This window comes from Homo sapiens, chromosome 5, assembly GCF_000001405.40.
Source record: "Homo sapiens chromosome 5, GRCh38.p14 Primary Assembly".
Taxonomy (NCBI): Eukaryota; Metazoa; Chordata; class Mammalia; order Primates; family Hominidae; genus Homo; species Homo sapiens.
The window spans coordinates 117,888,853-117,904,853 of NC_000005.10; the positions used below are offsets into that span (position 1 = coordinate 117,888,853).

Sequence of the window (16,001 nt, forward strand, 5' to 3'; positions counted from 1 at the left end):
GAAGCTCTGTTTTGGACCTGACACAGCTGCTCTTGTCAAAAGCCAATCTCTTCAGGTTCCCTTTTATCTTCAGAGCAAGAGGCTTGCAGCTCAGTGTGGCTTCAGCAAACTGAACCCATCCTATAAGCATCAGTGAGTTTGAAGCAGGTCCCCTGACTGCCCCACAGCTGGCTTCACCTCTAAACTTACCCTGTTTATTAAAGATTGGACAAGCTTCCACCAGTATCTCCTTTGGTTATTTCTTATGCAGACTGTTCTTAGGCAAAGGAAACACATTTGGTTTTTTCTCTAATCTCATCTCATGTTCTCTAGATTTAGCTAAAATTTCTCATTGTTTATGACGTGGATCTCATTTCTCTTGTGCATGTTTCTCCTTGATTTGGATATTTTCATGAACATTTTAGAAGGAATTGCTCCCAAAGCACTAGTGTTCACTTGTTTTTTTTTTTTCCTTGCTCATATCCATTTAAAATATGATTGGCTTATGTCAATCACAATAGCCTCACTGTTTATATATGTCACAGAATATGCAAAACGGAGGTTGACACAGGTAGGGTGCTGGGAGACTGGCAACCTCACTGTGCAGTCAAGAGGGATGAAGGCCTAAGGGAAGGGTGTTGGTGATAGAGGATGTTAATCAATTGAGCTTCTCCAGTGGACTGGACCTGAAGTAGTCAGTGGTATCCTGTGTCTTGATTCTACTTCTCCCTTTATTCCCAAACATCTGCTATGGTGTATGTCTGTCTGTGGCATCTTCTTTCTGCCTAGGACTTTGCATTCTCTCTTCCCTAGGATAACTGACATTTTCCATCCTCTGTCAATACAAATTTATTGGTTCACCTCTTCTGCACTCTGTTGGAAGTAGACCAATTATTGCAGTTTACCCAGTAACAGAAAAAAGCACACATCTTGAGCACCAGAGAAACATTTGTACATTAGTCATTTCCTTTTACAGATTAAATCTACTTTGTAGCTTACATTCTCATGTGATGGGGAAACCATTTGATGACTGAGTTTAAGTGTTAACAGACTTCTCCAAAAGAACCTGATATGCAGTATGATCATTTTCTTGATACTTCAAATAGTGGCAATTTGGAGCAGTAGATCTTGCTTGTTTCTTCAGTTTGAAGGGAAAATTTAAGCAGCTTTATAGTTTTATTTTTATATAAGTCAAACCAATATTGCTTTTGGATTATCATTTCTACTAAAATTCATAATTGTCTATAAGAAAGTGGAATGACCCTTATTTCAGATAAATCAAAGGAAATATTAGTTTGCTTTTGAATAGAATCTATTTTGCCAAAATCAATCTATAAATGCATCTGGACTTGATTAAAATAACTTCGTCTTTATTTTTTTAACTTTTTTTGTAATGGTAAATGCTAGATAAATTATTATTATTATTATTATTATTATTGAGACGGAGTCTTGCTCTGTTGCCCAGGCTGGAGTGCAGTGGCATGATCTCGGTTCACTGTAACCTCTGCCACCCACGTTCAAGCAATTCTCCTGCCTCAGCCTCCTGAGTAGCTGGGACTACAGGAACCCGCCACCATGCCCAGATAATTTTTTTGTATTTTTAGTAGAGACGGGGTTTCACCGTGCTAGCCAGGATGGTCTCGATCTCCTGACCTTGTGATCTGTCCACCTCAGCCTCCCAAAGTGCTGGGATTACAGGTGTGAGCCATTGCACCCGGCCAGTAAATTATTGTGAATTATAACTGTGTGAGAATCTATTTTATGAAATATTTTACCAGAATAAAAGTTCTAAATGTCACACTAATGTGTGTGCATTTGTTGCATTTGTTCAACTTTCTAAAAGGAAAAAAATTGAACATTATTGACTAATACCTAAGGTAAATATTTTCATGTCTGATCTGACTATTTAACACGTGGGAACGAGCTGATGCAATTCTGAAAGGATGCAAATAGTCTGTTTTTATATTATCCACTGAAGTTTAACAACTGTGACTCCAAAGAAGAGGGAAGAGCCAATTGCCTTTTCCTCTTTATATTTTACTTTTCATTTGTGTCATAGACACTTGGATAATCTGGGAACATGAACTAGGAGATTTCTTTTCTATTACCAATGTGAAGGTTTCTTCATCTGTGAATATGTGAATATGGAGAACTCTCACTAGGAGAGTACAGTCCAGTAAGACTTAGGCCATTTCATTCCCAAACTAGTAATTATTTAGTTGTTAGTATGTGTCAGGCATTTTTCTAGGTACCAACTGATGATTACCATTTCTCAGTTAACATAACACTCACAACAACCTATGAGTTAGATGCTATTTTTATCCCCATTTCAGAGATGAGGAAGCTGAGGCATGGAGAGGTTAAGAAGCTTGCCCATAGTCACTTAAGTAGTAAGTTGCAGAATGGGAACTAAAATCCTGACAGTGTGGCTTCAAGAATATAACAAACCATGGAATGTTTATATAATGTCATGAGATTTTTTCAGTATACTTGATACTTTATAATATCTTTTTTATGAGGAGAATAAAGGATTACCCTTCTATGATTCAAATGGAAAATAAAACAGTTCAATAGGTGTCATCATTGTCAAACATCCTGGTTGTAAGATGATGACTTACAGAGAGAGAAACACAAACCAGATCCTATCAGAAGTAATTGGTCACAAAACAATGGGCTTCTGGAATCCTTCCTTGGTCTTTTAAAAGAGATCAACCTCAAGAGAAAACCTTATTCTCTGTTATGGACTGAATGTTTGTGCCCTCTCAAAATTCATGTTACTCTAACTTCCAAGGTGATGATAATTGTAGGTGGAGCCTTTGTGAAGTAATTAGGTTTAGATTAGATGTGAGTGAGGGTGGGGCCACATGATGGGATTAGTGTCTTTGTAAGAAGAGGATGAGAGACAGACTGCTCTCTCTGCCATGTAAGGATATAGTGAAAAGACGGCTTCTAGAAACCCTGAGGAGGGCCGTTACTTCTGATCTCAGACTTCCAGCTTCCAGAACAATGAAAAATAAATGTCTGTCATAAACCACCAAATCTATGGTATTTTGTTAAAGTATCTTGGACTAAGATACCTTCAGTGGTTGAGAAATCAGTGTGGCTAGAAGTACCTAGATTCTTACTTAATATTGTCCTAAATACAAAGTAAAGCCGTATCGATTAAAAAACCAAACAAATAAACAAACAAAAAACCCTGTGACTGATGCCTGTCCCGTAGAATTACGAAATTTTACTCCTTGATCTATAAGATAGACCTTTTTATAAGTCTGGGAGTCTGTGTCAGGGCAATTTTCCTGATATTTTGTTAAGAATTCCCCTGATCACGTCGGTGACAGTGATGACACCAAAATATCATCAAAGTGTAATTTTTATACCCATTCTAATTTTTTTTTGTTTGTTTTCCAACTAAGACAAAGAAACAAACAAATAGCCTCAGACATCTGTGTCTATACCTAGGTATTTTTCTCCTCACCTGGGAATGCTTGTCTAATAGCTTCTTTCTTGTTATGGCAGAAAGAATCCCTGCGAAGTGGCAATGAACCCATGTCACATACACAGTTGGACCAAATTTTACTCTTAATCAATTGTCTTAGCCACGTTATGGTTTTTTATCTAATTGTTTATTCGTAGGATGAGCTAATACCTTGCAACCAAGCAAATTTTTATGGCTCTCTATATAATTTCTGAACAAATAGAGTGTATAATGGAAATGAAAGTGCTGACATTGTGCTTTCTATAATGGCATGAGTGGACTCAGTATTACAAAGTGCTCTTTTATTGCATCTTTCCACCAGGCCATTTATATGAAGCATGGATTGAGATGTAATTTAGAAGTGTGATATTAGGACTTGAACCCAGTATGAAAACCATCCAACAAATAGACAAATGTAAATGATCCAGAAACAGAAAACAACGGACTCACCAAGGCCTCTGATAATTTAAACGTAGCTATTAGAGTCTTTCTGAGTGTGTTCTAAATCAGGCTTTGAATAAATGCTTTTTTATACACTTAGACCCAAATCACTTTACACTTAAAATATTAAGATAGATGAGACCAAGTTCTTTTCTGCTTGAATAAAAGAAAATCCTGAAGTCATTGTAAATTTGTTTTTAAAAAATAGAGACCCATTTTTCTGTGTACGCTTGTAAGGTAAGTATTTCATAGGAACTGAAATTTAAGGAACAATATTATTGATTCTGTTTATCGTTTCTATAATTTAACCTGAATCATTTGTCCTTTATTTCAAGAAAAAGAAAAATAGGAAAGTAAAAAAGTAAGTTAACTAGTAAGTAAAAGAAGCAAGAACAAATGAATAAGGCCATTTCTTTCTTTGTCATTATTTACTAAATATTGCCAAAGAGGTTACAGCAGACATTGGGTGGCTGATGAGGAGGGTTGATTCTAAAATCCTACACGTTGATAAATTCGGCAAATCTCATTGGATCAATATTCTAAAGGAAAGGAAGGGAGTGAGTTAGTAGCTGTTTATTTCATCTTATTTAATGTGTCTGCTCTTTCGTCATCTTTTTCTTTTTCTCTTCTCTTTCCCAATCCTCCAATTCCTCAGCCTCACTCAATACAAAAATGAGAATTAGTCACGGAGATAAGATTAGTCTGAAAATATTTGAAGTATTTATTTAATTAAAGAATGGATAAGTGCAAGAAAGAGAATAATAAGCTGAACTGGGGAAAATTGTTTTGCAACTGTCTAAAGGACCTTAATGTGTTAATTCGGTGTTTGTGGGCATTAGCTTATACTGGAATTTTAAGAATTCAAAGAAGTACAATTTTTTGGTTGTTATTCCTCCTATTTGAGCACTTCTTTCACCTAAAGTTTCTTCTCTCCTGTCTCATAAGCTTTCAAGTGCTTTTTTGCTGCTTTTAGGTTATTTGAATTCTTCCATTCTATATAAGTTTACATACTTCCCCTTATGTTTTATTTTCTTCCTCCTCTAACTAATCAAAATTTCAAAGAAATGGTGATAACTCAGTTAACTGTAGCTCTGATTAATATAATTCACACTAAATCTTATAATCTTATGATAAATAAGATTGTAAATTCACACTAAATCTTATAATAAATAAGAACCAAGTTCTCACAGGGCTTTTTGCATTTTTAAAATAAATATTGTCTTTCCAAATGATTCTGGAAATGGAAAAATATTTCAGTAGAACACTTTTTGCATTCTTGGTCTATGCTAGCCACCATCTCATTTGCATACTCTCAAATATTTCATTTAGTCAATATCTTTAGCATAGATGGAATAATGAAAGAGCATGGACATTGGAATTGAGACCCAGCCTCAAATACCAGCTCTACCACCAATTAGCTCAGTGGCCTTGAACAAGTTAGAAAACATTGATAAGCTTTTGAGCCTTCTATGAGAAGTTTGTAACAGTTTACTCCTGAGAATGATATGGGATAGTATATATAAAGCACCTAGAAAAATACCTTGCACCTTGCAGGCACTTGATAGCTATGGTATCTATTGAGTAAATGATTTGTATTTAATAGGATCACAAAATACTTAGGTAGGAACATACTCAAGAGATAATTGAGTGCATCTTCCTTATTTACAGATGAGAAAGCTGGGACTCAGAGAAGTCAAGTGTCTTACTAAAGGCAAATAAATAATTAGAAATGGGGTTAGAATCTATGGCTAATCTGTGGTTTAATTATTGTTCTTTATATTATTTTATACACTTGCCCCTCCAAGCCCTGCACCATTCTTAATTTTGCTGGCTTTTTACTGTGCCAGTCCACCCACACACTAAGAGAAATCACCATTTTCTTTGTCATTATTTTTTTTTGTCTGGAAGAGAAATATTCTTTTGCCTTTTTCTTATTTCATAATGATGGCCTATGAAAGTAACTGGCCTATTTTTCACAGGGTACTTTCTTCCGCCTTCTGTGTTTTTTCTAACAATAGTAGTTTCATAGCCTCTACTTTAGATCTGCCACATTTGATTCATTTTCTGAAATATTAATTTTCCCTCAGACAATTGGTTCTTCGTTCTGCTGCCTGTAATATCTTCTAACAGGAGATTTAGTTGAAATGATCCTCCTCCTTACAATATTATATTTTCTAGATTTTTCCTAGCTCAGGATTTAATACTACATATACATTTCATGGTAATGTGAAATTATTTCCATTGTACCTTAAAATGATTTTAAAACACATTACAGATTTAATTCCTTCTCACAGACAGACTCTACTTCCAAATTTTTCTACCTCACTGCAAAATAGGGGGGTGGCAGTGGGGGACGTGGGGGAGAGGTGAAGGAGTTTACATTGTCCTGCAAAAAGGACATACTTAGGTCAAAACAGTCAGGAGGAACAGTGCTCAGTTTCTGAATTTCCACTTCTCTGATTATCCAATCTATGTTTTTCTCAAGAGTTCTGCTAAATGTCTGTGCTGCTAGACAAAAATCCCATATAATATATGTAAATAGCTCTGCTAAATGTCTACACTGCTAGACAAAAATCCCATATAATGTATGTAATTACTTAAACTTGTATAAATTATGAAATATTTTAAAAATCTATAAAATGTATATTTTGGTTTTTAATTTTACAAAATAAAACTTCAGAGATACTGAAGCCCCACCCAATCTTTTTTTTTTTTTCCTCTCAGAGCAACCATTAACCTGGAGTTTGCCCTTATTAGTTTAATTCATGTTTTTACAAAGGAAATACATACAAATATACATATGAACCATAAATAGCACTGCTGTATGTTTTAGATAAATCATAATATCCTATTGTAGGTGTCTTTTTTTATAACTTTTTCTTTTCAACATTTTATGTATGAATTATGTATTAAAAGTGGATTTCCACTTCACAAATTTTAACTGCTAAAAAGGGTTTCATTTTATGACTATGATGACTAAGCCAGAGTTTATCACACTCCATATTTGGGCTAAAATCAATCATGCAATGTGAACATTTCTAGATGCTTCTTTTTGCACTTACGGAAGAACATCTTTAGGGTGACTACCTAAAAAAATTATATTTGATTTCACAGTGGCTTACCCTTGCACCATCATATAAAAAATTTCCATTTTATTTATCTCCTTGATAAGTGTGTGGTGCTAGTTTTTAATTTTAATTTGCTGTTTTAAAAAATAATTTAAAAATTGATATCAGTTTTTTTAACCTTAGATATAGAAGGCGTTTTCAAGCCTAGAAGCAATAACACCCTAAAATAATGAGAACATCTATCTCCTAGATCTTGGTTTCCAAATAAAATTCCTTATTCAAAGTAACCAAAGTGCCTAGGAAAAGTGACTGATTCTAGGAATGGTTCAGGGAAAGTTTGAAATGGGCCAGGAATGTCTTATTTTTCCAGAAATTACTCAAGAAAGAAAAAGAAAAAAGAGCACAGGAGCCAGTTTAATGAGACTTCCATTAACCAAATCTGTAAAACTTTAAGCATCAAAAATGAATAACTATGAAACAAAAAACTTCTTTGAAAAGATTAACAAAATTGATTAGCCTCCAGCTAAGCTAGCTAACATAGAAAAGAGAGATGACACAAATGACTATATCAGAAATGAAAGAGAAGACATAACTTACATGATCACATGTACATTGAAAGGATAATAAAGGAACACTATAAACATCTCTATGCCCACAAATTTCATAATTTAGATGAAATGAACCAATTCCCTGAAAGAAACAATATGCCAAAATTCACACAAGAAGAAATAGACACTCTATACAGGCCTATATCTATTAAAAAACTTGAATCAATAATAAATGCCCTTTCAAAACAGAAAGAAACATGCCCAATGGGTTCACTGGTTAATTCCAGCAAAAAGTGAGAAAAAAAGTATACCAGTACTCTACAATCTCTTTCAGAAGAGAGAAGCAGGCATAATACTTCCTAACTTATTCTATGAGACCAGCATTACCCTAAGATAAAAGCAGACGAAGTCATTACAGCAAAATAAAACTTACAGGCCAATATTTCTCATGAACATAGATGCAGAAATCCTCAACAAAATATTAGCAAATTGAATCCAACAATGTAGAAAAAGAATTATACACAACAGCTAAGTGGAATTTGTCCCAAGTATGCATTCAAGGCTAGCTCAAATTCAAAAAATCAATTAATGTAATCCACAATACCAACAAGCTAAAGAAAAAACACACAATCATATAAATGCATACAGAAAAAAATTTGAAAAAAAAAAATTGAACACCTATTCGTAATGAAAACAGAAACTAAGAATAGAGGGGAATATTCTCAACTAGATCAAGAGTATCTACAAATATCGTACAGCTGACATTATACTTAATGGTGACAAACTCAAAACTTTCTCACTAATAGGAAAAAGAGAAGGTTACCTCCTCTCATTACTGCTTTTGAACATCATACTGGAATTCTAATGCAATAAGAAAAAGGAAATAACAGATGTACTAATTGGAAAAGAAGTAATACTGCTTGTTCACAGATAGCATGACTGTCTATGTATAAAATCTGAAAGAATTGACAAAAAACTCCTGGAACTAATAAATGATTATAGGAAGATTATAGATTACAGGATACAAGGTTAACATACAAAAGTCAAACACTTTCCTATTTACTAGCAATAAACAAGTGGAATTTGAAATATAAGAACACAATGCCATTTATACTTATCAGCCCCCAAAATGAAATACTTAGGTATAAATATATCAAATTATGTATAATAACTATTTGAGGAAAACTACAAAACTGCGACTAAATCAAATAACTAATAAATTGAGAAATATTTCCTGTTCATAGATGGAAAGATTTCATGTTGTTAAGATGTCAGTTCTTTCCAACTTGGTCTACGAATTCAATGCAATTCCGAGAAAATCCCAGAAAGTTACTTTGTACATATCAACAGACTGATTATAAAGTTTATAAGGTGGGTAAAAGACCCAAAATAGCCAACACAATATAAAGGAAGAACAAAGTTGAATGTCTGGCTGTATTGATTTCAAGACTTACTATTAAAGTCATAGTTATCAAGACAGTGTGGTATTGGCAAAAGAATAGACAAATGGATCAATGGAGCATGATGGATATTCCAGAAATAGAGCCACATAATTAAAGTCAACCAATCACTGACAAAGTAATAAAGGCAATTACAACAGAGTTAAAATATATTTTTCAACTAATGCTGCTAGAATAACTATACATACACATGCAAAAAAATTAATCTAGACACAGGTCTTACACCTTTCCCAAAAATTAACTCAAAATGGATCATGGACCTAAATGTAAAATGCAAACTGTAGAAGTCCTGGAAGATAACATAGAAAATCTAGATGACCTTAATTTGGTAATGACTTTTTAGATATGACAACAAAGGTATGATCATGAAAAAAATAATAAACTGATCTTCATTAAAATTATAAATTTCTCCTCTGTGACACTGTCAGGAAAAATGCAAAACAAGTCATATACCAGAAGAAAATATTTGCAATCAAGCCATGAAAGGTACTGGAGGAAATTTAAATGCGTATAACTAAGTGAAAAAGGCCAATCTGAAAAGGTGACAAACCCTATGATGTCAACTATATGACATTCTGGAAAAGGCGATACTAAAAATATCAGTGGTTGCCAGCATTTAGGAGGGAGGGTGAGATAAACAGAGCACAGAATATTTTTGTTTGTTTTCTTCAACAGTTCAGTGATACATGTGCAGGATGTGTAGGTTTGTTACATAGGTAAATGTGTACCATGGTGGTTTGTTGCACAGATAATCCCATCACCTAGGTATTAAGCCGAGCATCCATTAGCTATTCCTCCTGATGCTCTCCCTCCTTCAAGCCTCCCAACAGGCCCCAGTCTGTGTTGTTCCCCTCAATGTGTCCATGTCTTCTCATTGTTCAGCTCCCACTTATAAGTGAGAACATGTGGTATCTGGTTTTCTGTTCTTGTGTTAGTTTGCTGAGAATGATGGCTTCCAGCTCCATCCATGTCCTTGCAAAGGACATGATCTTGTTCCTTTTTATGGCTGCATAGTATTTCATGGTGTATATGTACCACATTTTCTTTATCCAGTTAATTATTGTTGGACATTTGGTTTATTCTCTGTCTTTGCTATTGTAAATAGTGCTCCAATGAACATAGGCATGCATGTATCTTTATAATAGAATTATTTATATTCCTTTGGGTATATACCCAATAATGGGATTGCTGGGTCAAATGGTATTCCTGCCTTTGAGGAATCACCACGGTCTTCCATAATGGTTGAGCTAATTTACACTCCCATCAACAGTGTGAAGAATTCTTTTTTCTCTGCAACTTGCCAGCATCTGTTGTATTTTTACTTTTTAATAGTAGCCATTCTGACTGGCATGAGATGGTATCTCACTGTGGTTTTGATTTGCATTTCTCTAGTGATCAGTGATGTTGAGCTTTTTTTCATATGTTTGTTGACAGCATGTATGTATTCTTTGAAGAAGTGTCGGTTCATGTCCTTTGTCTACTTTTTAATGGAGTTGTTAGTTTTGTTCTTGTAAATTTGTTTAAGTTCCTACCTGTAGACTCTGGATATTAGACTTTGTCAGATGGATAGTTTGAAAAAATTTTCTCCCATTCTGCAGGTTGTCTTGTTCACTCTGATGATAGTTTCTTTTTTTGTGCTGCTCTTCAGTTTAATTAGATCCCATTTGTCAATTTTTGCTTTTGTTGTAATTGCTTTTGGTGTTTTTGTCATGGTATCATTTAGATTTTCTTCTATATTTTTCATAGTTTTGGGTATTACATTTAAGTCTTTAATCCATCCTGAGTTAATTTTTTTAGATGGTGCAGGGAAGGGATCCAGTTTCAATTTTCTGCATATGGCTAGTCAGTTCTCCTAGCACCTATTAAATAGAGAATCCTTTCCCCATTGCTTGTTTTTGTCAGGTTTGTCAAAGATCAGATGATTGTATGTGTGGTCTTGTTTCTAAGTACTCTATTCTGTTCCATTGGTCTCTGTGTCTGTTCTTGTACCAGTACCATGCAGTTTTGGTTATTGTAGCCTTGTAGTATAGTTTGAAGTCAGGGAGTGTGATGCCTCCAACTTTGTTCTTTTTGCTTAGGATTGTCTTGGCTATTTGGGCTCTTTTTTTTGTTCCATATGAATTTTAAAATAGTTTTCTCTACTTCTGAGCAGTGATTTTAAGGGCAGTGAAATTACTCTTTATGACACTGTAATGGTAGATACATGTCATTACAAATTTTTTGAAATCCATATAACATACAACACCAAGAGTGAACCATAATGTAAAACTACGGACTCTGGGTGATAATGATATATCAGTGCGGGTTCTTCAATTCTAACAAATGTATTTGGTGGTGGAGGGATGTTGATAATGGGAAGGCTATGAATACATGGAGGCAGGAAGTTTACAGGAAATCTCTGTACTTTCCACTCTGTTTTGCTGTGACTCCAAGACTGCTCTATTAAAAAAAAATAAGAAAAAATAAATCTAAGTATCTAAAAATCTAATTTTGCAACTGTAAAAAAAGAGAATGGCTACAATGCATTATAATATATTGAGAAAATAATCTACACTAATACCAAAAAACAAATGACAAAAGTATAATAAAGTTAGAAGAAATGATAGTTATAAAACCATGATTTTGCAAAAATCATATTAAAAATTGACATGGATAAATATTGATGGATATAAAACCTAGGGGTTAAAGTTGGTTGGCAAATAAGAGATTTACATAAGTTCAAATTATTTTCCCATAGATTACTCACTAATTATGAAATGATTAAAAGGTACTTTTATAGCAATAAAATTTAGAAGAAACAGCCTTAACTAAGTGATCAAGATTAATATAACCATGCATGGAACAAACTGCCGTTAAGTGCCTCCTGATATCATACTCTGGGAAAGATACTATATCACATACGTAATATTTCTGCCAAAAACTCAAAAGCATAATTATAAAGAAACAACAGGAAAAACCCAAATTGAGAGAAATACTACAAAACATTGTGTCTGTACTCTTTTAATACACCAAGGTCATAAAACACAAAGAAAAGGGAGGAAATGCTACATATCAAAGGAGAGAAAACATACAATATGACTAAATGTAAACTTCTGCATTGGATCCTGGTTCAGAGGGCAACATTGCTATAAAGGACACTCGGAAGATAATTAGTGAAATAGGAATATAAACTATATTACATGACAGTGATATAGCTATGTTACATTTTAAAAATTTGAGGTGTGGTTATGAGAGAAGGTTTTAGGGATGGAGGGTCATGATTTCTACAATTTACTGTCAAATGTTTCAGCTCCATCCCTTCCCTAAAGAATAAGAATAACAGTAATATATTATATTATCATACTATTATGAATGTATGTCTTGACCATACATTCATATGGTAGTATTAAACTTTTAAAATATTTCCATTAAAAGCCTATTTTGGATTCAGTTTTGGGTTAATTTTGTAGTTTAAGGAACAAATCAAAAACTTTGTGATATTGCATTGTCTACTCAGGACCATAGGTCTTCTTTTCTGTACATCTTTTACCTTCTCCAATAAAGCTTTATAATTTTTTAAAATTATTCTTAGGTACATTATAAGTTATACTGTTTGTGTAGGTAGTACCTTCTTAAAAATTATCTAATTAGTTCTGACAATACATGAAAATGAAGATGATTTTTATATATTCATCTTTTGAACTCTCTAAGTAATTCTAATAACATATCTGTGAATTTCCAGGATAATTCATGCAGACAAGCATATCATTCTGAAAATGCCAGGATTTTTTCTACCTTTGTTTTGTGATCTTATTGTATTCTTAATCTTGGTTTTTATTAACTTATTCAGTTAATTAGGTATTATAGCTCACTGTTTAGACATAGACATGACAGATATCCTTTTTTCTGTTCTTAAATGAACACTTTCAGTGTTCACTATTTAGTAGCATAGTTGCTGTAGGTTTGGGTCAATATCTTTTTGTGAACTTATTTGAAGCTCTCTTATTCTTAGTTTACTTAGAATTCATTTTTATTGTTATGAATGGTTTTAAAATTTATCAATCTTTTTTTTTTCCTTCTGTAAATACTGGAATGGTAGTATTGCATTATTCTTTCATCTGTTAATGTGGTGAATTACCTTAATATTTGTTTCAAAATAATAAAATATATTTGGATGTTTGGAATAAATTCTTCTTAGTCTTGATGAATGTATTATATATTCTGAAATTATATTGAAAATATATCATTTAAGACTTTTGAATTCATAAATAAAATCAGCCAATGGTTTTACTGGCTTAAATTTTTCCTATCTTATTTATTAACAATAGTATATTAGTCCATATTTTTTTTTCTATGTTGTGGATCTTTGATTTTTGAAGACTTAGTAGAACTCATTTGTAAAATTATATGGGCCTGTGGTAATTTTTTTTTAAAGTTATTGTCATGCAAAGATTTAAAGTTTATAAAAGTTATTTGGAGTAGGAATTATATGGGGATTGCAGGTTTATTATTCTCATTTTTGCAGTTGAAGGAATTAAGGTATAAAAATTGGAAGACTTTTCTTATGTTTCTGTGACATTTACATAGAAAACTAGAAATAAAATCAGTCTTCTCACCAAACCAACAACTTCTTGTTCTTCCTCCCCACAATCCCGAATCTGCGGAAGCACACCTGACTAAGTAGAAGCTAAAGCCATTGGTGTTGATGTTATTCTGTTTTCAAGGCCTGACATGAGTATTCTCTCATCACTGAGGCCACAGGAGACCAAAAGTGTCAGCAAGTGATGTCCTTTGGTAGGTATCTCCAAGAAGCATAATTTTGCAAACATGTAAATGCAAAGAACATTTGAAACCTTCTGGAATGCCCAGTTAATCTTTGAATCACCATGCAGGGTTTCTACATTTTTTTCTCTAGGGAAAAGTAGTAATGTCCTAGAAGCCAGAGGGATTTTTATTCTTAAGTCTGTTGCTTTTCCAAGGTCTTCATTTGATTTTATAGTACTCTTGACAGGGACTATGAGGTGGTTGACTGTATTACAGGCAGACTTCAGAGTTTCACTCACTCCTGCCACTTGACAAAAACTCTCTTGAGAGCACAAATGCAAATGTTCTCACTTCAACAGGCAGAGTTTAATCTGCAGCTCTGGTGTGTGGATTCTCCATCATACAGCATGATTCACTAAATCCGTCTTTTGCTATGACTCTAGGGAAGCCATCACTTGTCATTCTGCCCAGTAGAGCATGTTGTAGCACCTGCTTTATATTGTACCTTGCCACAAAGTATCCTCTCTGGTAGAACATCAAACAGTCAAGTATTCCCATTTATCCAGTACTGGGGGTGGGGGGGCGTTCAGAGGGATTATACAGTGAATTGCGCCAAGCTTCAGCTGTGCCAGTAAGGTATTAACTGTGACTACTTTTCTCCTTTTCTTATCACTGAAGAAACAATAATAGAATGAAATATAATAAACAGACAATAAACTTTCCAATTTTAAATGACATTTTCATCCACTGAGAAAACTGAGTTAGGTAAGGTAAATCATAAGGTAAACTTTCACCTAAGAGACAACTTTGCACAAATAATTTTTTAATTCAATTATTTTTAAATTTTCATTTTATTTTAAACTTCCAAAATTTTTGGACTTTATTTTTCCATTTTCTTTATTTTCAGAAACATAATCTGGCATTTTTTATAAAGCAAAAATATCTGAAATACCTAAGTTTTGATATATTTTCGACCATTTAATATTTGTGATAATGCTATGAAAAATGTATTACCATTTCTAATATATAAATTAAGAACTTTAAATTAGGAAAGTTTAAGTATATGCCAAAGGTCATTACAAAGCTAGAGACCTGTCTTTAGTTTGTAGCAGAAACTGTTATCTATCTAAAATCAGTTCCCCACTACACATCATTTCTTTCTGGGAGTAGACTGCAGATGTACTCTTTTTGCCTCTTGTCCCCGGTGCTATTTACTATGTGCTAAGGGAAAGCAATCCTATATTCAGCTGATGGGTAATTTGAATTATCTACGTCTATCACAAGCAGTCAGCCCTCCTGCTCGTTTGTTTTAGTACTGGACATATGGCTGAAATATGGTCTATGCGATACTAAGAAAGATCTGCTAGGGAGGGATTCAGACAACTTTCCTTACTCTTATACAGGGAAACTCAAGGAAGAAGAGTACTCTTCTTTTCTGTTTATAAATAGTAGTCTCTGCATGTGATAACTGCTGTGGAAGCCATTTTGTATCCTGGAGGAGAACCAGCTTGAGAATAAGACCAATTCTCTGAGAATGGCAGAGCCGAAGATATTAATTATTTATGCCTATGAGAGCATCATTAAGTTGCTGAATTGATGAATTTTGGGGATACTCCACTTTAGGCCTTCTTGCTTTTAGGAAAAATTTATTTAACTGTGTTGAAGCCCCCAGAGTCATCCTGACACAGAATTCAGAATGTCTAACTCAAAAGCCAGCAATTCTTCATAGAAATACCACAACAGGTAGCTTCCACAAGTAACCTTTTCTTTTTTTTTTTTTTTTTTGAGATGGAGTCTCGCTGTGTCTCACAGGCTGGAGTGCAGTGGCGCAATCTCTGGCTCACTGCAAGCTCCGCCTGCCGGGTTCACGCCATTCTCCTGCCTCAGCCTCCAGAGTAGCTGGGATTACAGGCGCCTGCCACCACGCCCGGATAAATTTTTCGTATTTTTAGTAGAGACAAGGTTTCACCATGTTAGCCAGGGTGGTCTCGATCTCCTGACCTCGTGATCTGCCCGCCTCGGCCTCCCAAAGTACTGGGATTACAGGCGTGAGCCACTGCACCCGGCCACAAGTAACCATTTTTAACATAATAGTAATAGCTGTCAATTAGAATTAACATTATTTTTTAGAACAGAGTTTACTAATTCAACCTAAATGAGTGGTTTTTGGTTTTTTGGAAGCCCGAAAAACATTAAAGAATAAGAAAACTAACTTCTAGCAGGTAACTGCTCAGACCTTCTGGCTTTTACAGATCCTCTGGTTTTTCAACAGAAGCCTCTAAGTCTA

General features: G+C 34.1%; 1 long non-coding RNA gene across 1 annotated transcript in view, besides 1 other annotated feature; it reads left to right on the top strand.

Annotated features, from left to right (window-relative positions):
- Positions 1-16,001, top strand: part of LINC02147 (long intergenic non-protein coding RNA 2147) — a 535,702-nt gene that overhangs the window by 158,492 nt on the left and 361,209 nt on the right. The window lies entirely within an intron of this gene.
- Positions 28-207: an enhancer, noted in NCBI's record as "active region_22956". NCBI's record gives its function as "activates an Ori minimal core promoter by ATAC-STARR-seq in GM12878 lymphoblastoid cells {active_cell/tissue: GM12878}" and the evidence as "EXISTENCE:reporter gene assay evidence [ECO:0000049][PMID:35858748]".